General features: G+C 40.2%; 1 protein-coding gene across 13 annotated transcripts in view, besides 2 other annotated features; it reads right to left on the bottom strand.

Moving 5' to 3' along the window:
• The window catches only part of MYO1B (myosin IB), a 179,983-nt gene that overhangs the window by 130,821 nt on the left and 24,882 nt on the right, over window positions 1–24,280 (bottom strand). For all 13 annotated transcript variants that reach the window (XM_047444410.1, XM_047444412.1, XM_024452914.2 and 10 more), the window contains one exon: window positions 17,536–17,679. In XM_047444410.1, the coding sequence (XP_047300366.1) occupies window positions 17,536–17,679 (144 nt within the window). The remainder of the gene's footprint in view (window positions 1–17,535; window positions 17,680–24,280) is intronic.
• Window positions 12,665–13,165: an enhancer, noted in NCBI's record as "H3K27ac hESC enhancer chr2:192146127-192146627 (GRCh37/hg19 assembly coordinates)". NCBI's record gives its function as "activates a minimal SCP1, AML or CMV promoter by ChIP-STARR-seq in primed H9 embryonic stem cells {active_cell/tissue: H9 hESC(primed)}" and the evidence as "EXISTENCE:reporter gene assay evidence [ECO:0000049][PMID:30033119]".
• Window positions 13,166–13,666: an enhancer, noted in NCBI's record as "H3K27ac hESC enhancer chr2:192145626-192146126 (GRCh37/hg19 assembly coordinates)". NCBI's record gives its function as "activates a minimal SCP1, AML or CMV promoter by ChIP-STARR-seq in primed H9 embryonic stem cells {active_cell/tissue: H9 hESC(primed)}" and the evidence as "EXISTENCE:reporter gene assay evidence [ECO:0000049][PMID:30033119]".

Below are 24,280 nucleotides of genomic sequence, written 5' to 3'. Positions count from 1 at the left end.
GGGAGATGTCTCCCAAGGACAATGTCACAAGCAAACATCAGATGGGAGACGCCTGACACTGAATACTTGTCTGAATAGCTTCCAGCTAATACATTAGAATTAGTAGCCTTGGTAAATATGAAAATATAGCCATTGGTTATTTCTTTAACATCTATTGGTTAAAAAAATCAACCTTCTTTAAGTAGAAAAGTACTATTTGAATCCTTCTCCCTTTTTCTTGAATACAATAGTTTCTAAAATATATTGATTTGCTGTTAGCAGAAAAACCACTTACTGAGTTGCTCTTTAAAACCAAACTTCACAGTGGCTAAATTCTTGATAAAAATCTGCCTCTGTGGCATTCTTGCACAGGGAACAAACTCTGTTGCCTCAAATTCAAAATCAAAAGCCACAGTAATAAGTTGTAAGTTTCTCTTTGTTCCTTGTGACTGTTACACATACTGAATTATGTGTGTTTGTTTTCCCCCAGCTGCATCTCTATCACCTAGAACAGTGTCTGGCCCACCATGATGTACAATAAATATTTGTTAACTAAATGACCAAATCACATGGGGTATGTTCATCACTAATTGGAGGGTACAAGCCACTGAAACACATCTAATTATTCTTGCATTGAAATATAAGATCAAATATACTATACTCAGTGCTTAGTATTTTAATCAGCCTATATGCCATGTGTTACTGTTAGAGGTGTTTGAACCAGAGCAACCCCATCTTGAATAGAGGCTGGGTAAAATAAGGCTGAGACCTACTGAGCTGCATTCCCAGATGATTATGCATTCTACATCACAGGATGAGGTAGGAGGTCAGCATGAGATACAGGTCATAAAGACGATGCTGATAAAACAGGTTGCAGTAAAGAAACCAACTCAAATCCACCAAAACCAAGATGGTGATGAGAACACTTCTGGTAATCCTCAGTGCTACACTCCCACCAGTGCCATGACAGTTTACAAATGCCATGGCAACATCAGGAAGGTACCCTATATGATCTGAAAAGGGGAGGCATGAATAATCCACTCCTTATTGAGCATATAATCAAGAAATAACCATAAAAATGGATCTGCATATGGAGTAGCCATTCTTTATTCCTTTACTTTTTAAATAAACTTACTTTCACTTTACCATATAAACTCACCCCAAATTCTTTCTTGCGTGAGATCCAAGAACCCTCTCTTGTGGTCTGGATTGGGACTCCTTTCCGGTAACATTACCATTTAACAAATCCCTAAATGTCGTTTGACTCTGGTAGACTGTAAAAACAGCCAGAACAATTCTTTCCATCCCTGCATGCACTTCCCATTTGAAATGTGACTTTGTTACTTTAAAGATAGAGTTTTTTTCTCCACTCCTTCAATTGGAATTTCTCCCTGTGACTTGATTTAACCAAAGGGAAGTTAGCAAATGAGACACAAGTAGAAGCCTGAGAAGCATTTGTGTATTAGGATGTGTCTCCTTTTTTATGACTGTGGCTGGAAGCCATGATGTGAATGAGCTTGAGCTAGCCTGTCAGAGAGGTCCTGTGGAGAGCTAAGGTATCCTGACCTACAGCCTGCTACACTAACTATTAGACATGAGTGAGGCCATCTTAAACCATCCAGCCCCAGTAAGGACACCAGATGCCTAAGGCCACATGAGTGATTCCAGGTGAGACTAGCAGAAAATATACAATGCTAAACTCAGGCTAACTTGCTATCCCAGAGAATCGTGAGCAAATAATTGGCTGTTGGTGTAAGCCTTTAATTTCTGAGAGGTAGTTTGTTACATGGCAACAGTAACTGATACACCTATGTAAACCAAAAATAAAATCCTAAGGCCCCTCAACCATCAGAATGGACTTCCTCCTAGGCCAAGGTACTCTAAAATTTAACCTGAAAGATTGGTTCAGGCCATGATGGGAAGTGGGGGTCGAACATGCCTCATTATACCTCTCCAGCATTAACATCGACTCAGACCTTAAGTCTGATAAGAAACATTTACAATCTATTGTCTCTGAAGCCGGGTATCTGGAGGTTTTATCTGTGTGATAAAACTTTGGTCTTCACAACCTCTTATAGCAATCCACACATTCCTTTCTATTGGTAACTCTTTTAACCAATTGCCAGTTAGAAAAATTTTAAATCTACCTATAACCTGGAAGCCTCACTGCTTCGAGCTGTTCTACCTCTCTAGGTTGAAGTCTCATGTCTGCCTAAAATGTCCCAATCATCTTGGGCACATGTTCTCAGGATCTCCCAAGGAGGGCTGTGTTATGGGCTATGCTCACTCATATTTGGCATAGAATAAATCTCTTTAAATATTTTAGAGTTTGACTCTTTTCATCAATACCTACATGACTCAAGAAACTAAAAATGGTGCCAAGCAGGACAAGTTTTATCCACCTAAATAAGCAAACACTAAAAGAAACTATGCTTTCTCTCTCCATTCCACTTTATACAGTTCAGATATCCTCTTTATCTTCTAACCTTGAACTCCTAACAGGTTCATCCTATACCTGCCCTTTCTGTTTATGGATTTCTTCCTCAAAGTTCTATGTGCATTAGCCAAAGGTTTAAATATTCCTACATGGGCCAGTAGAATAACTCAAATGTTCACAGTCACAACTCTGCTTCCTCTGAGACACAGAAAGACATTCCTGATAGCAGCTGATTGCTGGGTGGGGTTTAACATTTCTACTCTAGTTTTAGGTAGCTACCAATTCTACATTCAGGTGACTACAGCACCAGATTAAATCTCCTTTTCAAGGATCAGAATGATAGTGACCAGACAGTTCATTTTTACATTGATTAACATTTGGACTTGTGAATCAGATGTCATTTTTTAAATAAACAACTGCATACTATTTACAGTTGGTATTTTCTTATTGCATCACGCTCTAAAAAGGATGGTAAACCAACTCATTATGAAGTAACCAGCCCAGGCATTTCTAGGCTCACCCCTCCACGTTTCTGAACCTCAGCTCCCCTAAGCCCTCAGGTCCATGCCACCACTAATATGACAATGGAAAGCTCCCTCTATGCCTCTGCTCAGTGGGCCAGCCTCTGACACCCAGGAAGGGAAAAGAAAGGAAAGAGATGTGGGAGGGAAGAGAAGCAAACAAGAATGAAAGAGAAGAAAAAGGGAAGAGGGAGAAGAAAACAAGCTCTACCTTTCTATAATTGGCACATACAGATAGCAAGGTTATATTTCATTTCTCAAGGGCAGACACTGAATCAAGAATGCACAAACATTCTTAAGTCAAAACCATCTCGACCTTCCTAGATTTCAAGTATCTCTAGCATTCCAAAACAGATGTCTTGTAAATAATCAAATAATACTTGAGTGTTCTTAGCATAATTACCATGAAAACAGAGGTCTTTTCTGGAGGACATTCAATCTAGCCACCTCCACTCCCCAGACCACTGTTCAGAAGCCAAACGAAAAGCCTTTGAGTAGTCAAAATATAACCTAAAGGCCACGTGTTTTATTCTATAAGAAAGTTCTTTCAGAACTCCAATCCTCAGAGATTCTACTTCAATGATGTAGGGAACGGCCAGGGGTCAGTACTTTTTTGAAAGAGACCCAACATAAACTAATGTGGAACCAGGGTTGAAAACCAATGTCTGTAGCCCTTCCCTTCCAGACTCACAGGACCAGGTTTTACTCTCAATTGCAACAACCTGCTAGTGCTGCTGTTGGCTTATCTTCTATTTCACCTTCCCCTTTAAATACTCCTATGGAACTAGTTCTGAAACAAAAGAAAAGTCCTTCTAGCCTCACTCTCATTTTAGCCACATTTCTAATAAACTTGGCATAGTCTCAATAGACTACAGAAAAACTGCAGCAACATCTGTATATTGGAAGAGGCAAAAAGGGCCGTACTATAGCTGTGAATTTGAAATGTTTGATTACAACTCATATATAAGAAATAAAATTTTCATCACAACCAGGTATGTGTATGTATGTCTATTTATGTGCACACACATATACAAGATAAAAACTTCACAAAACCAAAAGTACCCTTTACTATATGTGATACATTGATATTTTTTGTTCGATTCTAATATTTTTTACAAAATGTTTAAAAACTGTTGGCCCTAACCCACTAAATGATTTTCATGAGCAATTAATGATATGAAACTTGCAGTTTAAAAAATTGTGCTACACAGCACTCCTTAACCTTTCTTCAATTGTTGATCCCTTTGAGACACCAGCGGAAGCAATGACTCTTCTCCTTGGAAAAACACACATGCACATTGAAGTCTGCATACATGTGATATACCAGGTTAAGACTCCCTCTGCAAGCAGAGAAACAATGGCCACTAATAGAAAAGGAAGAGTAGGGAGGGACAAAGAAAGAAAGAAAATAAGTAAGAAGTGATGAAGATAATTATCAAAGTATAAAAATATTTATAGTAAGACCCAAGAGCCCCATGGCTTAGCCGGCCCTGACTGCTTTATTATGGCACTAATTGGGAACGTAGGGTAATAATCAACAGCCAAAATCAGTGTATTCTGTTTTTGATGACAAGGATATATGCAATACATTTTAGAATGATATCTAACCAAAAAGTTAAATATTTTAGCACAGCTTTAATATTATGTAAGTCTCAATAATGTGTAACATTCCTTCGCAAAGGCAGATAAATGAAACATTAGCACACATACACAGAACAGTCAGAATATTTCCAAGTCTGTATATAAAACTTCTTCTAAAAAGTCAGAATAGTTTTAATATCTTTTATATCATAATTCTTCCCAGGGTAAGATAGAGATCTTTAGAAGCCCTAAATCCTGAAGGTTTACATTTCAGTTTCTCATATGATATTAAAATGTATAACTACACCATAAAATACATGTAAGAAAATCCCATAATGACCTATTTTTGCCATCATGTACTTTGATGCTTTTTTTGAAATATCGAATTCTCTCAAAATCTATTTTTAAAGCCTCTGTTTGCTGGGCTCTAACTAGGCATCCAATCTGTCTACCTACCTGCTTCCTTATTTTCTTCAGGATGAATTTCAGTTATTTGTTTACATGTCTCTGGAGTTCCTTAAAAACTCATCCTCAACCTATTGAACAGCTGGCATAGAATATACACATACACACCTTTCTACTAAACTACTCCCAAATCCCCAAGAGATAGATACAAATTCTCTATCTTAATGTCCATAACAAAGGAGCACAAAGAAGTTAAGTGATACGACCACATTAGCTAGCAGAAGTGAAATCAAGACAAGGAGACAAGAATCTGTTCTCTTTTCATTAGAGCATACAATCCATGCCGTCTGTTAGGCCTGGGAAGCTTTGGTAAAAAGCACGCAAGAAGAACGGAGGAAACTTGTGTTGCACAATGCCATATAAAGCATCTTCAACCTTTGTGTAATAAAGCGCTACTCTGTTAGGCAAAAGCCTCCCATTTTACCACCTGAGAAATCCTTCTACCGCCAGGAATAAACAAAACAGAAAAGGAAAAGATCTTCTAGTTATAGGGAAAATGTTTGCTCTCACCAGAAAAGATTCAATCGTAATCATTCTTTAACTTCAGAGAAATAAATCAGGAATGTGGTGATGTAAAAGGCAATATTTATTTAAATATCTTAATACGAATTAGTCTAAAATAACATCAAAGAAATATCAGAGAAGGTATAGGAGTCGTCTGCATCTCCAAGGGTCTCCAAGTCATGTTACTTTTGCCTCTAAAGTATTGGGCTGGTGCAAAAGTAATTGCAGTTTTTGCCATTACTTCCAACGCAAAAATCACAATTGCTTTTGCACCAATCTATAGTTCAAATCCAGGATGGGCCAGGATTCAGGTAAGAATAACCCATCACAAGGCTGCACAATCGCACTGACTGATAGAGTGATTTTAGGCTACAAACCATTTTACATGCAAGCAACAAATTTATTAAGGGCTAACTTTATGCAAAACATCATGCTGGGCATGGTAGGAAAAATACAAAGCTCCCAGTGTCTGTGTGCCTGGGAAGTTTATAATATAGCTTAGGAAGTGAGTCTTTTAGATAGAGAAACATAAAATTTAAGAGTTAACTTCTCTAGACATTAAAACAGATGAAACAGGATGTGATTCCTGGCTAAATGAGCCATTAGTCTGATTATTTTACTGTCTAATGAGTGCTCCAGGGTTATATAAAGAAAGGTCACTATGAACTGCAGAGGTCCGAGAAAGCTCCAGAGAAGACAGACAGCTTGAGCGGTCTAAAAAGATGGGCATGATTTGGACAAAGTTCCCCCCAAAGAGTGACATAAGACGTTAGGTTTCAGGTGATAGCTGAATGCCGCCCAGCCACCACCTTTCTTTCTTCTTTTTTTTTTTTTTAAGCTAAGCTATCTTCTTCAAAATATATTTTTTTAAGTACAATTTGCCAGGGACTCAAACAGATATCTGCACACCCATGTTTATAGCAGCATTATTCACTATACCCAAGAGGAGGAAGTCACCCAAGTGTCCAGCGACAGATGAATAGATAAATAAAATGTAGATACGTACAATGGAACACTGTTCAGCCTTAAAAAGGAAGGGAATTCTGACACATGCTAGAATACAGATTAAAACACAGACAGAGGCACAAAGGCCTACCCAAGCACATACCAAAGACAGAGAATGGAACAGCTTCCCTAAAACAAAGACATCCCCTGAGTAGTTACGACTGGAATAAAAAATTCTTGCTAAAGCCAGGAAAAAAAAAAAAAAAAGACTGAGATCAAACTGTAGAGAGCCTTTGAACTTCACGTAAGCAGTCTGAGCTTGAGTCCAAAAGCAGTTTTGAAGTGAAAAGTCAGTGGGGGATGAGGGGCTTAGATGATGAAACTGATGGGATTTGAACCCACATCATTCTGACCTAAGTATAGTATTTAAGCTCTTTACTCAGATTCTACCTATGTCATTTCATAATAATAATTCTTCAATGTATTTGAAATATTGTGTAAGTCTTGGCTCCAAATTAGCTGGCAAAATTCTCTAGTTTTGTGTGAACGTGGGCACATTATTTAACTTTTCCACATCCCAGTTTCCTCACCTTTTTTTTTTTTGAGACGGAGTTTCACTCTTGTTGCCCAGGCTGGAGTACAATGGCGCGATCTTGGCTCACTGCAACCTCCACCTCCCTGGTTCAAGCAATTCTCCTGCCTCAGCCTCCCGAGTAGCTGGGATTACAGGTGCCCGCCACCACGCCAAGCTAATTTTTTTGTATTTTTAGTAGAGAGGTGGATTCACCATGTTGGCCAGGCTAGTCTTGAATTCCTGACCTCGGGTGATCCGCCTACCTCGGCCTCTCAACTTGCTGGGATTGCAGGCGTGAGCCACCGCGCCTGGCCTGAGTTTCCTCATCTTTACAAGAAGCATACTAGCTCCTCCCTCATCTAATTCTGAGGATTAAATGAGGTTGTGTGTCAAAACATCAAACACAGCACCTGACCCACAGCAAGCATTCCATAAATATTACCTATTATAATTATATAAATTTAGCTGGGCTCTACTGGAATCTATTGGCTACTGTAAAGAGCCAAATCAGGACTTGAAAGTCTACATAAAATATGTTAATACCATGGCTAAATTCATTAATGAGTCCTACCACACCAGCGTCTTAAAAACTTTTACAAAATGGTCTGTTTTGTTTTGTTTTGTGTTTTGAGACAGGGTCTAGCTCTGTCACCCAGGTTGGAGTGCAGTGGTGCGATCCTGGCTCACTGCAGCCCCGATCCCAGGTTCAAGCCATCCTCCCACCTCAGCCTCCTGAATACCTGGGACTACAGGTACATGCCACCAATCCTGGCTAAGTTTTGTATTTTTGGTAGAGACGGGGTTTCATCATGTTGCCCAGGCTGGTCTCGAACTCCTCGACTAAAGCAATCGGCCCGCCTCAGACTCCCAAAGTGCTGGGATTATAGGCATTAGCCACGGCACCCAACCCAAAATGGTCTTTGTATACAGGAAATTGATGAATTTTCAGATAAGCACATAAGGTATGTCTTAATAAAACTAATATTAAAAGTCTAGGATACTAAGAAAATGACTATACAAGACAGACCAGTGGGAATCCTCAAAAATGACAACATGCTATTCACTCCAATATGAGGAATCTACTTCCTTCCTGGGTCTGAGACCCTGGGAATTTGATCACAAGATATTAAGATGTCATATGCCACGGTGTTTTTAATTAGACATCTGTAAGATTTCCCAAATTTCCTTGCAGAGGGCCTCGGTCTTTTTTTTTTTTTTAAAGACACAGTATGGTCTACCAAACACTTTGGTTGTTTTTTAGACATAGTTCAAAACTGTGCAAAATGCCTAAGTAAAAATTACAAGTATAAGGTGAATAACAGACTTAGGTGTCTATCTGGGCCTTATATTTTTTAAAAATGTAATTCAGTGTATGCATCTCATGTCGCCAGTCTCAGAAACATATTTGTGATGCATATGCAATAGACATATAAAATTGATGCTAATAGCCTAATTTTACAGGGGAATAGAACTGGAAACATTAGAAGGTTTTAAATAACTTGCCCAAGGTTTCTAAATCAGTGGCAGAAGCAGAGTTTCATCCCAAAGCTCTGCATCAAAGACTATGACAATAGGACGGAGAACAGTGACTTGGTCAGGCTCTTTCAGCTGCTTGGCATCCAGGTCCATTTCCTGTATTAATGAACTCACCTAGGAACCCCTGACAACTATCCCAGGCTATAACAAATCTGGGACCTGAGGGTGACTATGGGTCCAGGACGGCTCATGAACCAACACAACCCAAGTTTGTGAAGATTTCCTCTCCAGTTCTGGTATCAATGAGCCTCGCCCCTGCCCATGTCTCTGCTTCTCCCCTTGTTTCTTTCATGCCTGCTGCAAGCTGGTTCCCTCACTTTCTACTCCATCGGCTGTCCACTTCAAAGCCTCTTATTCATAGGTTCTGTTTGCCTGTGGCCTATCATGTACTCCTCTCGACTTCATCACCCTCAGCATCTTGATCCCATTGATATTTTATTTTTTCAGTATTTCTCAATTCAAAGTTTGAGGAAAGAATCTAGCCTTGCTCATCTTTTTATCTAAGTTGTGCCTTAAATCACTGGCCTTGGGTCAGGAGCTCATTCAGAGGCCAGGACGTCCCGCAAACCGTGGCTGCCGACGGTGGCCGCAAGTTTGTCAGGCACAGTCTCTGCTGCCTAGTCCAAGACGTGCCTACACTACCATCATATTATACTCTTGTTCCTGGGCTGCAGCCAGTCATTTCAGACTATGAATTAAAGAACTATATATGAGTTCAACGCCACGCTGAAATACTGGCTAAAAATATCACCTCAGGCGTCTTTATTTTAGAGCAGGATAATACAATACTGCCATATCTTCGTTGAGACAAACTGTGTCACGAGACAAGTATTTTCCAAATATATACCATTCTCCAGACTTAATAAAACTCTCTTAACAGCATGGTCCTGTGGTCCTGTATTAAAGGGATAATATTTACAATATGTCTTTAAAATAATATTTCTGTGGTTAATTGAAAGTAGTAATGTAACAAAAATGAATCTGCTATGAAACACAGGAACTGCTATGAAAGGAATACAGAAAGAGGGAAAGAAGTAGGCAGGGAAGGGGAGAAGAGAAAGAATCTAACTAATGAAAATACCAGGGTCTTGGCTAGGCTTGGTGGCTTACACCTATAATCCCAGCACTTTCGGAGGCCGAGGCTGGTGGATCACTTGAGGCCAGGAGTTCAAGACCAGCCTGGCCAAAATGGTGAAACGCTGTTTGTACTAAAAGTACAAAAAATTAGCCAGGTGTGGCAGCATGTGCCTGTAATCCAAGCTACTCAGGAGGCTGAGGCAGAAGAACCGTTTGAACCCAGGAGGCAGAGGTTGTAATGAACCAAGATGGTGCCACTGTACTCCAGCCTGGGGGACAGAGCTAGACTCTGTCTCGAAAAAAAGAAAACATCAATGTCTGAAACCTCAAAAAAAAAGTGATTCTGGATTTCCAAGTTTTTCAGACAGTCGGGGCACCTACCATGCACTCCACTTTCATCATGTGATAGGCACTGGACTAAGATGTCCCTTAATCCCCACCACAACTCAACAAGATAAGTACCACGATGACCATTTTATGGGTGAGAGAACCTCTATTCCTTACAGTGGTCACAGTGACTGTAAGTCACCAAGGTTCAAACAGGTCTGTCAGCCAAAAGCTCACACCTTTCCCAGTATGCCATGTCATTTCACCCTCCACTCCTTCCAAAGCAGAATTTGAACAACAAAATAGCCTCTCTTTAGAAATTAGGATTATTAAAATTTTTCTGCACTATGGATATACAACAGACACAGATGCATGTGTAGAGGGGACAGTTGAACTGGCCACAGAATTAACTGGCCACGTGTCCCCTGTGCCGAACTGCTTCCTCTTCCTCCTCTCTCGTGCTCATAAAGGTGAAGAGCCATGTGCAGCTGTCAGTTACCTGTCATCCTGTGAACATGATGAAATATACTTTCCTCCCAGTATCTTCTCCCACCTTCCACAGTGGGGAAAAAATCATTGTCATGGCTGCTATCACTTTTCCTTTGAATTGAGAGCACCATGTAATGATCACCTATGACTTTAGAAATGAATGTCCTTGCTCTATGTCACGCTGGTTCATGTCACTGCACTGCTGAGCAGCTCAACACATGGCAGGAATACTGATTATCATTTTGATTATTTGTCCAGGTCATTTTCAGATTGCCTCATTCCAAACCTACACATTCTTCAATATCATACCCAATTATTTTGAGAATTGAAAGGGCTTTTGTATCAGTAGTATCCTTTGATGCTCACAGCAACCATGGAAAGTCAGCAGGACTATCATTAAGAGCATGGACTCTGCAGCTGAACTTCCTGGGTGTGAGTTTCAGCTCCATCACCTACTTGCTGTGTGATCGTGGACAGTTACTTAGCCTTTATGAGCCTCGGTTTCTTCATATGTAAAATGAAGATAATTTAAAAACCTATAGTACATAGGACTCTAGTGAAAATTAAATGAATAATACATGTAAAGTGCTTAGAACAGCAGCTGGTACCAATAAGGAAATCAAAAATGTCCTTTGTTATCATTTATCATTTTACCAACCAATAAGAAAACAGTCTCCAAGGAGTTAACTTGTCCCAGGTCTCACTAAGTGGCAGGGCCAGGACTAGACGTCAAGTTTTTGCTTCTTAGTGCTACCATACTGCTTCCAAAAGATCTGATGTCAGGCCTTAATTTCTTCAAATCAAACCTTAGGTTTAGCTTCAACCAGAATATTTAAGTTAATGCACTGTAAGTATTATACAAATATTTCAAGCCCTATACAGTGCCTCCATGATGAAAAAACTCTCTAAGTTTGGTAAGCAACAAATATGTGTCAACTTTGAAAATTCTAAGAGGAAGAAATTTTCCAATCACCAAAGGCTGTAGGAAAGTTTGCATGGGTTGAAGCTGGCAAGTTATTAGCAAAAATGACTGTCCAAGAGATAGATGGTGCTCAGAAATTAGACATGACATTTCCCTTCACCCTCATGATTTGCTGTTTTTCAACAGCTTTATCTAGGCTTCTAAAGCTGTGTCTCCGTTTCAAACACCAAAGCTACACTCTGGAAGGCACACACAATTTGTTCTCAATGTTTACCTTAATGGTCTACCTTTGCAGCGATCAGAGTAAGCTGAGCACTACTGATGGTAAACCACTCACATACAACCAAGTCTAGGCATTTCATGTTAACAGGGCTGGGATCCCTCCTCCTTCCTTCCCTACTTCATCTAAGTGGGATTGGAGGTGGCATTAAAGATTGCTCTTGTTCCATGCAAACTCTGTTGGGTCTGGATTACCTGGGTAAAGGTCTGCCCGTCTAGATAAAAGAGAACCTCCTCCTACTTCCAACTCTAGAACAAGAAAATTAGTTTTTTCACCCAACATAATCTTGAAGATTACACATCATTCTATTAATTACTGTTCACGCTGGGAATGGGCCTGTGGTACTGAAGGGAGAAAACTACATTTTTATGATATGTCTGGCTGTACTATTTGAAATTTTTTTTTCCCAAAAGCATTTGTTATTTTGTAATTTAAAAAACCTTTAAAGGAAAATTTTATAAAGAATAAAACTTGGAGAACAGGGCTGAGTAACAGGAATAACACTCAGGTGGTTGTCTGAACTCCAGCCCTGCTCTCCACCACCACCACCATGAGCCTGCAAAAGGTTCAAGCCTCAGATAAGATTGCAGCCCTGCTGAAACCTTGACTACAGCTGGGAAAATCCTGAATAGAGGACTCAGCTAAGCCAGGCCCCAACTCCTGACCCCAGGAATAGCAAGATAATATACGTATGTTATTCTAAGTTGCTAAGTCTGTGCACTTTATTTTGTAGCAAGAGAAAACTACTACTCCATCTACGCCAAATTCCCAGGAACAGAGATTATACCCATGAGGTGGGATTTTCATGTGTATAAATGAAAAGTGGTTTTGAAACTTCAAATAAATGTGTTAATCAGTATTGTTTTCATTAACTTTACAATATTTTAAATCAAATATATGGTACTATATCTTGAGTATCTTTCATAAAAGTATCTAATCTCATCCTGGGAATCCTAATTCTAGTATTAACTTCTATAACTTAAGACAACTTTTCCTATACTTTTAAAGTAGTCACTCCTACAACTACAATTAGTTTAACATAAGATCTAAAAATTAGACTAACTCAGGCCCCTATATCTAGATGATCCCCAATCTTACAATTCAGATAGAAAACAAACTAAATTTACTGGTCAGCACCAAATATACTTCTCGTCAGAGAACAGACACCTTGGTTCTCTGGTTTCCAAATTTGTACTGGGCCTTGTTCTTGCCTAAATTGTAGCTTTCCTGTTCCTGAATAGAACCACAGTCCTGACCAGTCACCCTAAAAACAGAACATGTCTGGCCGGATCTCAGCTCTGCCATCTCCTACATCACAATAAAAGTCCACATGAAATCCTGCTACCATCCATCTGGCCTGGGGGCCGGGGAGGGGAGGCCGGAAGAAGGTCTGACAAAGGACAGAAAGCAAACAGAAAAGCAGTGCTCGGGAACGTCACGACCAGCATTTCCCAGCCATTGACCCCACGGAGCCTGTCAGACCAAACAGCATGTCCTGCAGCTGGGCCCAGCTTGAACCACACTCCGCCAAGATGGAGGAATAAAAAGCAAATAGAGTCTCTGACCCTGTGTGTTGCAGCATCACTTCAGCATTTCCCCCATCTCATCTCACCTGATCCTCCTCCATCTCCAACTGAATAGCCCAAGCCCTAACTGCGAAGACCACGTCAATATCTGCCACTGTCCCAGATTTAGAGACTCAACCAGGCCACAGATGGCTATGAACCAATCCAGTGCTATTTAAACAAGTGTGTCAACCCACCTCAAAGTGAAGAACAGATATTTCTGGAGCATGCAACTTACTCAAAGGGTTACAAGGGGTATATTAGTTCAAAACAACCCATCTGCACTAGAGAACAGTATAAAGCTTTGAATTACATTTGAAAGTAAACATTTCGGCAAAATTTCCCTGAAGCAGGACTTCGACCATGCTCCAGAGTTCCTGGGGGAAGCTGTTTACTCTTCTCTGCCATTAGAAGTTCACCAGCAGAAAAGTCTGAGAAGCAAGCCATTGGGCGCACTTGAAGCCTAGAACTCAAGTGACCAATTCTTCCCATGGACACATCCTTTAACATGACATCAACATCAAAAAAGCCACTTCATTACAGAACTCCCTACCAAACCGGTGAGGAGTTCACAGTGAGTGGGCTCCTCGGCATCCACTGCCCCTTTTCTCTTCTTAGTGTGTGAATAGATATATTTGGTTGGGAACCCACCCCCTCACATACAGCCTATCTACTTTGGAAAAATCTGGTTCAACTCCAATCTTAAACATCACTTTCTTAAGTCGCTCAGGTCATGCCATCTCCGGGCCACAGTCAATGGTTTGAGAAGGGAGTGTGACTCCGGCAGCCTAACCAAGGTAAATCTCAGGACTCTGACTTGGAATGCCAGAAGAGAAGCAGCACTGCCTCTTCTTCTAGCCAGCGCGATGCGGGAATGCAAAGCCTGGAATGCTGCAGCTGGTTTGCTACTATGAAGCCTCAGAACAAAGAAACAGCCAAGGAAGGCAAAGCAGACAGTAAGTCACAAAGTCCTTAGTGATACCACTGAGCCACTAAATCAAACCAATTGTGAAAGCAGAATGACTTCTGGATTTTCAGGTGAATAAATGTGGGTGTGACGGCTACTTGCAAAAAGCACATTCTAACACTACCTGACATTTCCAACTAACTCCAGAATGCCTTGCTCTATCCAGAGCTTCAGGTTTAGTACGACAGGATGACAAGGGAGTCTGCTTCCAGCGTCAGCTGCTACAGATCCAGAGGATCACTAGGGGTTGTGAATGTTCTAGAGAGTCGTAACTCATACCCAGGGGCAAAGCAATCCCTCACGAGAGCTCTGGGAAGATACAGACTATTTTTCATTTCTAAATATGTTGGGGGAGGGAGGAGAAGAGGAGATGGATGGCAGGATGTTAGAACTGAACCCCCCGATTTAGAGCTGGTTCACATAGGAGATTGCTGAGGCTATGGGTGTATCCAGATCCAGAGTTCAAAAGTCTGGGGCAAGGGTCTTCCTGTTCACTGGCCCCCTTATCAGACATAGCTCTAAACATACAAATTACTGTTCAATATGCTCACATGATGGATCATCCCTAGAGAGTCACCCATTTTTATAATATAAAATGAAGCTATAAGACCTTAAAAGATGTTTTTTTTTAACTGCATCTTCATTTTCTTGGAAAGAATTGAAAAACAGAGTGAAGCAGAAGACAGTAAAATGTTCCATGTCATATTAACTTAGCCTTGGGCATCAAGCTAGACAACTTTGCAGCAACCCATGAACAAAGGCAAAGCAGGAGTATTATCAGGATAAGAGCCAGAAATAGATTTCACCAGGGAAGAATACATGGCATGTGGGGCTGGAGAGTGTGGTAATCAAATTTATCATGCAGCTTTTTTTTAATTACAAAAGCAATATATGATTGACTTAAGTCCTACAATACAGAGGTCTAAAAGAGTAACCTTCCCTGTCCCCATGCCCTATCCCAACCCACCCCACTATGGTACCTGAAGGTAACATACCTGTCTCTCTGTACATACAAATATATACAAACATATGTACATATTCGTAAACCCCCATACACATCTTTTACAAAAGGATCATACTATACGCATTACTTTACAATCTCTTGTTTCACTTATAATAGAGAATGCCCAGCCCTCCAACATGAGGTGTTTGAAGTTACAAAACAAAGGCACACATCTCATGGAAACAGTAGCCCTGAATTATCATGAAAAACATTAATTGATATGAATATCTGGAAGCTGAAATCAATTTTCTGCTTTTGTTTTATAAACACAAAGGACGTTTAGAAAATAAAATTACATAGAGCTGAAATCCAGACATTTCGTCTGCTAAAGACTCATGAATGTTAACACTTGGCATTTTGTTAAAAAGGTGATTGTTTTATTTTTAGTGGCCACAACAAATCAGGTATTTGAATGCACGTAATGTTCTACTCTCCATCTTATTTTCAATTCATTTAAAAGTGAATTGTGCTTCTCAGAGCCAAAAAGAAAAATGATCGGTAACGTTAGTTACAATATAATTGATTCTGCCTATCTCCATCTCAAAGACCAATGTTTAAAGTCTGTCTTTTATTTGATATCAGAGCATACTTTCAATTAAAGCTGCAGAACCCTCAGCTTTCCCACCTGAAAGCAGAACTGCTACGCTTGGAGGGAAGGTGACACCAGGCAGTACTGCCAAGCCAAACAATGCCACCCCCTGCTCTGCAGCAGTGTTTTATACCTTTTCCATTTGGATCAGCACTTTAAATAATCGCATCTCTGAACTGTAAACACATTTCAGTTTAGTATCCAGTTATCCAATTAAGACTCCAAAAGCAGTATTCACAGGCCTCTTGTTACCATCAACCTTCCCCCACCTCCACCAATACAAAGTGAGAAGAATGAAAAGGTCAATTCCTAGAGGATGACTACTATCTCATAAATACATTACTCAAAATCATCCTTGAAACATGTTTGGTGCTGTGGTCTCAATGTTTCTATCTCCCTAAAGTTTATATATTGAAAGCTAGTCACCAATGTGATGGTTCTAGGAGGTGGGGCTTTGAGAGGTGACTAGGTCATAAGGACAGAGCTCTCATGAATGGGATTAGTGCCCTTATGAAGGAGTATTCCTCTTCCACCATGTGAGGACACAGTTAGAAGGCGCCATCTGTGAGCCAGAAAGCAGGTCCTCATCAGACACTGAATATGCCAGCCCCTTCACCGTGGACTTCCCAGACTCTAGAACTGTTGAGAAACAAATTTCTGTTGTTTATAAGCCACCTAGTTTATGGTATTTTGGTATCGCAGCTCCAACAGATAAAGAGAGTTGGCTATCTAGAAAAGAGAGCTATCTATGATATAAAATAATATAGCTCATAATTTGCATATAATTTTACAAAATATATTAGTTCCACAAAAGTTATAACTGATCCTACTTGTATCACTGTATTATCTCTTTTATTTATTTATACTTCCTCCCTAGAATGATAAACAGAAAAATATTAAGCATGCCCAATAATCCAGTTCTTCTCCATGCACAGATGCACATTTTAAAAAGGAGGAAAGAGAACTCAGGAAGTGAGGCAGAGTCCACTAAAACTACTCCCATCCAAAACATTCTGTTTCCTTCTCAGCTGCAGGTACAGGGAATCAATGCCTCATTTCTTTGGTTTAGTTAACAGTACACCTTTACTTCTGCAGATGCTTTATGCAAACTCCAGAAAAGCTGCATATAAATGTATTTTTTATTCATGTTTTTAAAATATTTAGAGAACTTGACCCTGTGAAATCCTTTATAAAGACTTTTTACAACAGGAAATTTTCTCCTATTATAGCATATACATATTTATGCTTCTGTTTATGTATATGGCATTAGACTTTTGTACAGTAGGACATGACTATAGCCAAATCTTCAGGGACCAATTACATATTTTTATCTGATAATCTGCTCCTGTCCCTACTAACTACAAATGTCGAGAAAGTTCATGTCTTTTTTGACAGTTTACTGCCTTGCATTTCAATGAGTAGCTTCTCCCTGATTAGACTTTGTTAATCTTATGAAGGTATCCAAGAAGATGCCTATGGATTTCAAAATTCCTTCTAAATTCCTCAGAGGGCAGTATTCTGCTTGCTTTAGAATGCCCCCAACACCCACTACAATACTTGCACACAGTTGATCACAGAAAGCAGACTGACTTGTCTAACCCACATTACTCATGGGCTAAATCAGTAAAAACTCAACTCTTTCTGAGGGTATAAAGCAAATACTGCTGGACTCAAACAGAGAGAAAAAAGAAAGAAGAGTCTGAGGAAGAAAAGACAGCTCTCTGGCACAAAATACAAAGTCTAAACATTACAGATGACCTTCGTGTGTACTTACGTATATTTCACTGTGGTCAAAGCGCTTCTTGAGGTTGTTGATGAAGGTCTCCTCATTGAGAGGTTCTAAAAGAACCATATCCCCAACTCCAATCATATTGTCCAGAAGTGAGGTTTTCACCTCCATTTTGGCCATGGTCTCCAGCTGCAGAAGAGAGGGAAAGGGGTCAATTTAAACGAGCAAAATAATTTCAAATAGGTTCTTGGCACTACTGCAGAAATCCAACACTGGTAGCTCCAAATGACTCTCACTAGCCTTAAAAAATGTCATAACCTCTCCTCCCTATGAACCACATCAGGAGCCTCTGACTTGGCTGCAGCTGCCCCATTTGCCAACCTGCTGCCACAAATGAACCTCCTTCCCAGTCCATCCTCCCTGGTGAAGTCCACCTACAGAAAAAGCCACTAGAAAGCCATGGTCTTCTCCTCAGCAGAGAGTCGCAAAACTCCAGGGGGAGGAAAAAAAACCTAACCCACCCCTACTTTCCCTCAGCCCTTGTGTACCAATGTCAGACTATATGAACCTGCTTCCTCGAAGATGATAAAAAATGATGCTGCTAACATTTGTTGTTTACTTGCCACATATCAGACACTATACCAAGAACTTTACATTAATTGAACCCTCACAATAACTCTATGAGGTAGGTATTGTCATTCCCACTTTAAGATAAGAAAATTGAAGCTCAGAGATTATGAAACTTGCTATGGTTACTTAAAAATGTTTTGCATTTGATGTGAAAGAACTCAATTACCACGTCTAACATGGCATCTATGGGAGGAAATTTCATTCCAGACAATCAATACTGACATATAAAGAAAAGAACACAACCCACTTGTAAATCACAGGCTACCAGTATAACATAACCTGATAAAAGTGGCCTCTACGTTTTTAATTCTTGTACCAACAGACATGCCACTATAACAGCAGAATCAAATTAACACGCAGTAAACAGACCAGAAATACTACAGTTTCCCTTTGGTTCAATGTGAAAATCTACCAAGTGGAAACAGAGGCACGCTACAAAGGCAGCATTCTACCCTGCTACTAATGTGCATGGTGCCACCCAACAGCAGAATGGTAATCCCCAAGGCTTCCAATCTGATCACTGTCAAGAGTACTAAAAATCTTTCAAATTTCTGAGCATAGGAGTGTGTGGGATATGTGTGTATGCACACATGTGTCTGTATTATTTTTCCTAATATTACCAGAACTAAATGGTAAAATGGTAAAACTAAATTCATCTGGGCCATTCTCTCTAAATGTTTCTAATGTAGAAGCCAGTTTTATATAACTTCAGTGTGCTGATACTCAATCACACTTCAGAATACTAATAAATACTTACATATATACCTGCCACTGATAATGAGTGGAAAGGACATTTGATTCTTCCTATTAAGGAGTCACTTCGGCACACTATGTCTTATAAAGGTTGGTGTCCTTACTGAAATCTCAGCAACTTAAACAAATGTCCCCCACTTCTAGTCTAGAACATCCAGTAGGTCTTGTAGAAGCAGCAGAAACTACATTTAGTTGGTCTGGTTTAAAGAGAACTAGGAAGGGCTAGTAATTAAGAAATTCATTATTATTAATTACTAGCAATTTATATGAACCCACAAACATATCCTTTTTTACTGATCCTATTAAAACAAGTTTTTGGCTATGAAAAGCCAAAAAAGAGAGACTAAGATGAATTTATGAGAGGTTCTCCCATAAATAAAATAAGGAAGTATTTAACACTAAAAAGAAAAACAATAGAGTAACTTTTTTGTTACTGTATGTTTTTTATAATTTTAAGCCAAATACACCTGGAACAAAAAGTCCCAGATAGGCCAGGTGCGGTGGCTCATGCCTGTAATCCCAGCACTTTGGGAGGCTGAGGCAGGTGGATCATGAGGTCAGGAGTTCAAGACCAGCCTGGCCAAGATGGTGAAACCCCATCTCTACTAAAAATACAAAAATTAGCCGGGCATGGTGGCAGTGCCTGTAATCCCAGCTACTCAGGAGGCTGAGGCAGCGAACTGCTTGAACCTGGGAGGCAGAGCTTGCAGTGAGCCGAGATTGCGCCACTGTAATCCAGCCTGGGCAACAGAGTGAGACTCTGTCTCAAAAAAAAAGAAAAGAAAGAAAGAAAAGTCCCAGATACCACTAAAACTCAACAACGTCGGCCCAAAGAACTGCTCTGTATATTTTGAAGTTGGCTGGGCTCTGTTTCAGAACAAAACTGATGAGGGTGGGAGGCACGTGCCATGCTATGGAAATGCAGCAGGAGCCACAGAGACGGTGAAGCCAGAGCCAGAGTCCACAGAAGGACTTGCACAGGGAGAGGACCATTTGTCACAATAAATTTGTCCACAATAAATTAACATTTGAATCAAAGTTCAAGTTCTCAGGCTCCATGTAATGCCAAAAGCACTCTAGCTGCCATGCATTACATATAATTTGGCAGATGAGGGAAGAAGGCTTAGGGATTAAGGGGGAAGTCAACCTGAGAAGGGTTTCAAAAATAACTACCTCAAACCAGCAATTTAAATTAAGCAAAGAGGAACTCTGCCCTGGGGTGGATTCCTGTATATAGTCTATTTATAGGAACAGCTGCAGAAAGACAACACAGCTTCCCTGCAGGTAACAATAATTAAGCAGCCAATCTTTCTCTGTAATTACCCGCTTCACCATCTTTTCCAATGTGGAATTTATATCTAATTTTTTACACCTCATCCCAACTTTCTAATCCAAAGAGGAATAGAGTGCAAAAGAAATGCTGAGTTACAGGTAACTGGTAAACAGTGAAGACCTCTGAATATTGTATTTTGCAAACCAAAATACAATAAAGCAAGCCACAGTGAAAAGGTGACACCAAGAGTCATTGAATCATGCAAACAGTTTTGCTTTGTTTTGTTTATCTTTTTAGCATTTAGGGACACTGGGAGAAGATCCAGTGACAGCCTACCTCATTCTCAAGGTAAAAATAGGACACTAAGGAAACGGTGTGGGGGTATTTCCATATCTTCTTATGGTGGTTTCTGGTATTGTGACCACCATCTCTAGCCTTGGTTTGGTTCACTTTGACATGTCAATGAAATTAGTTCATGTATTTGCTCCACCAAAAGGATCCATTTGTTTTTTTCTCTGAAGGAGCTATGTGCTTACCATGGGCACAAGTTTCAGAATCACTTGCTAACTCCACATTTCCATAAACCATTAGAAGAATTCGCATGGGGCTCTAGGGAGAATTAAATGAGAATGTATGTAGAGCACTGGGGATACTTTTTGTTGGACACATACTGTTATAGATCTACCTCCTCCCTTCCAAGAGCCCTCACAAGGAATCCATGCTGTTCTGGGTACCAAAAATGAACATGTGATCTAGGCTAAGTCAATCAACATATTCTCATCTTCTAGCCAGTGTAACTGATTCAAGGCTGGACACGTGACTGAGCTTGAGACTGTGGCTTCAAATACCAGGACAAAGGTTCTCTGTCTCTGGATGGCGTGACTTGCAGACGTGACACTTGGAACTACTGCAGCCATCTCTACTTTCATGAGGAGGGTTGGTAGGAAGAGGAAGACGACACATGGAGGAGGACAGGGCAAGAAAATTACCTAGAATTGGCCAGGCGCGGTGGCTCACGCCTGTAATCCCAACACTTTGGGAGGCCGAGGCAAGTGGATCATTTGAGGTCAGGAGTTTGAGATCAGCCTGGCCAACATGGTGAAACCCTGTCTCTACTAAAAATACAAAAATTAGCCAGGCGGTAGTGGCACACCCCTGTAATCCCAGCTACTCAGGAGGAGGTTGAGGCAGGAGAATTGCTTGAACCCAGGAAGTGGAGGTTGCAGTGAGCTGAGATTGCACCACTGCACTCCAGCTTGGGCAACAGAGTGAGACCCTGTCTCAAAAGAAAAAAAGAGAAAAAGAAAATTACCTAGAATTATTAGTACTGGAGCCTGGATGACATCCCAAACCTCTGGATCAAACTGCACTTGAAGCTTGCTCCCATCTCTCAAGTTTTCAGTGATGTAAGCCAATTAGTTCTCTTTATTGTCTAAGCTGTTTGAGTTGTATTTTCTATTATTTGCAACAAAAAGCATTTTACCTAGTAAGAGACTGGTACCAGGAAGTGAAGTGTTCTAAATAATACACCAAAAAGCAAAAACTGGCTGATCTAAGGCACAGGCATGAGGACCTGCTGTCTTGGACTGACAAGATGATCATCTTCGCTATTTAATAGTGAAATAGTGGACTAAACCATGGCCCGTGGTATCTTGAGACTTGGACCTTTATGCCTGTGGCATTAGAGAATTTGAAAAAAATTCAAGATGCCAGAGTATGGGTTGGTTATTTCTTAAGGATTTACAAGAAAAAGATAAGCTTGCTGTGAAACTGGACTGTCTGAAAGGCCAGAGAGGAAAACATATGGCACTGCTCAGAGGGCTCACTCTGCCTGGAGGTGGGAGACATAGAGATGTAACCTATCCCAAGCACCACCTCTGCCTCTGTGGCCTGAGAAAGAAATAAGCACTTCTGCCATGCAGATGTAGCCCAGGAGAGGTGCCACCTCACTCTACTGCTTCTTACGCTTCTTACTAGCCCCAGGTGGATTCTACTACCAAGAACTATGGCAATCTGCAAAGTACCAAGGCCAGGAAAGAAATTATCAGACCATGTTCTAGTTTCAAAACTTTGGGACTTGGCAGTATATTCAGTTTGGGCTACTAGTCCAGAAAAGCAGTCTCTCTATCTAAGGGTACCAATTTAGGCCAGCCACAAGCCTGCCAACTGGTGCCAGGCAACTCCACAGGCTGTGCCAGTTCTTTTCAGCTCTCTGTCCATCCAAGAAGAACAAAATATATTATTGCAATTGTTCCTTCCCCTATCTACTCTCATCTCAAGAACTTCCAAAATTACTACCTGTATTTCAACATACACTAATTCATTTACTGGTATCTTTTGCAAAGTTAAAATACCGTTTAAAATACTGACAGCAGCATTTCAAAAGTTCCTCAAAATCCAAGAGAATGCAGCATAAACAACCTATAGCATCTGAAAATGGCCATCTGTGACCTACCACGTAAACTTAATGAGTCTACCCAATCACTAACCTTAAATTGCAAGCCACCTACCATATGTCAACATCATCTGCACTTGGGAATGTCAAGACCAACATAGCCCCCCAACACACAGAGATGGCTACACAAAACAGCACATCCAGCATGGTAATTCCACTATTCAATATCAAAATGGTACTACAAAGGAGTTATTCCAAATTAATAATTAAATAATAACTAAGAGGAGATGGATGATAAGTTAAAATAAAATTCATCTTATCTCGTGCTCCTCCATTGAATTTGAAGTTCTCAGAGTACCACAGATAAGAACAATGTATACGTTGAAACACTTTTATCGTAGAATTTGAAAGAATATTCACAAATCAGAGCTGAGGTTGCAATGATTAATAAGAATATTAAATCACTAACATGGTTTTAAATTTGAAGGAACTTCTTTTTTTTTTTTAGATTTAAATAGAAAGAAGATCTTGCTATGTTGCCCAGGCTGGTCTCAAGCTCCAGGTTTCAAATGATCCTTCTGCCTTGAAGTTCCAAAGTGCTGGGATTGCAGGCATAAGCCACTGCACCCAGCCTAAAGGAACTTTTAAAACAAAGCCAAAAGAGTTACTTGCAGGAAAACTTAGTGAAAGCAGTTATCTATTGCTTTGGTAATTGTAAATGAGGACATTTAAAACACATATATTATAACATCATTAGCAGTATAACAGCATTAGCAATATACACCAGAGACAGCACCTACAGGGATTCTTCTTCGCATAGTAACAAGTGTGTTTTATCTGACTCCAGTTCCACTCATTAACCTCCCTGTATAGTGGTCATGTATGCATGACAGCACCTTTTCTAGAAAATCAGCTCTTTGGTGTCAAGAATCATGCCTTATTCATCTTTATTTCCTGAAAGCACAGTGCACAGCCTCTTGCACATGGTAGCCATTCAGTGATATACAAAGGGAAAACAAGTATGCAAATTTCCGATTGACAACTGAGTCGTACAACAATGCACGTCCTCACAGCTGCCATCCTTTGGTTTGGTCACAGCAGACCAGAAGGCAAAACAATGACAGTGGCTTCAAGCCACTTTGATCCATTCCTCCAAAAACATATTATCAACAAAGGGCAGGAAACAGAATTGAGCTACTTGGCTCCCAACAAGATCACTAATGCTTTTAAGAATAGCATGAGAAACATATTTAGGTAAGAAAATGGAGCCAATGTGGCAAGATTTCATGAACACAGTAACTCTCAGCAAATCCTGATGGCAAAACAAAGGCAAAAGAGGAGCCAAGTCTGTAGGATGTGGTTCAGTACCTAATATAATGAGCTAAGGGAGTCAGAAAAACTGGAATTTCCTTCCTAGATCTTTTAAAATAGCACCGAATCTCATCTCTCTGAGAGGGGTTAGATTAAATTTCCATTCAATTCAGTTCAACCAGCTTTTACAGTATTGAGGCCTGTTGTGCTGCTGGCATGGTGTAAAGTGCTAAGAACACAGTGAACATCGTGGTACCTCCCCCTCCCTGCATCACCCTCTAGGAACTCACGGTCCAATAGAAAAGTCAAGAAAATAGGCCACTTTTGAAATTTTCAAGGAACTTTTTAATAATTAAAAGTAATACATGTTCACTATAGAAAAAAACTAGAAAATATAGATGAGCAAAAAGACTATAAGCCAAATTCAA

Source organism: Homo sapiens, chromosome 2 (genome assembly GCF_000001405.40).
Source record: "Homo sapiens chromosome 2, GRCh38.p14 Primary Assembly".
In the NCBI taxonomy this organism is placed as follows: Eukaryota; Metazoa; Chordata; class Mammalia; order Primates; family Hominidae; genus Homo; species Homo sapiens.
The sequence above is the reverse complement of the archived record's forward strand: the minus strand, read 5'-3'. Positions and strand labels throughout refer to the sequence as shown.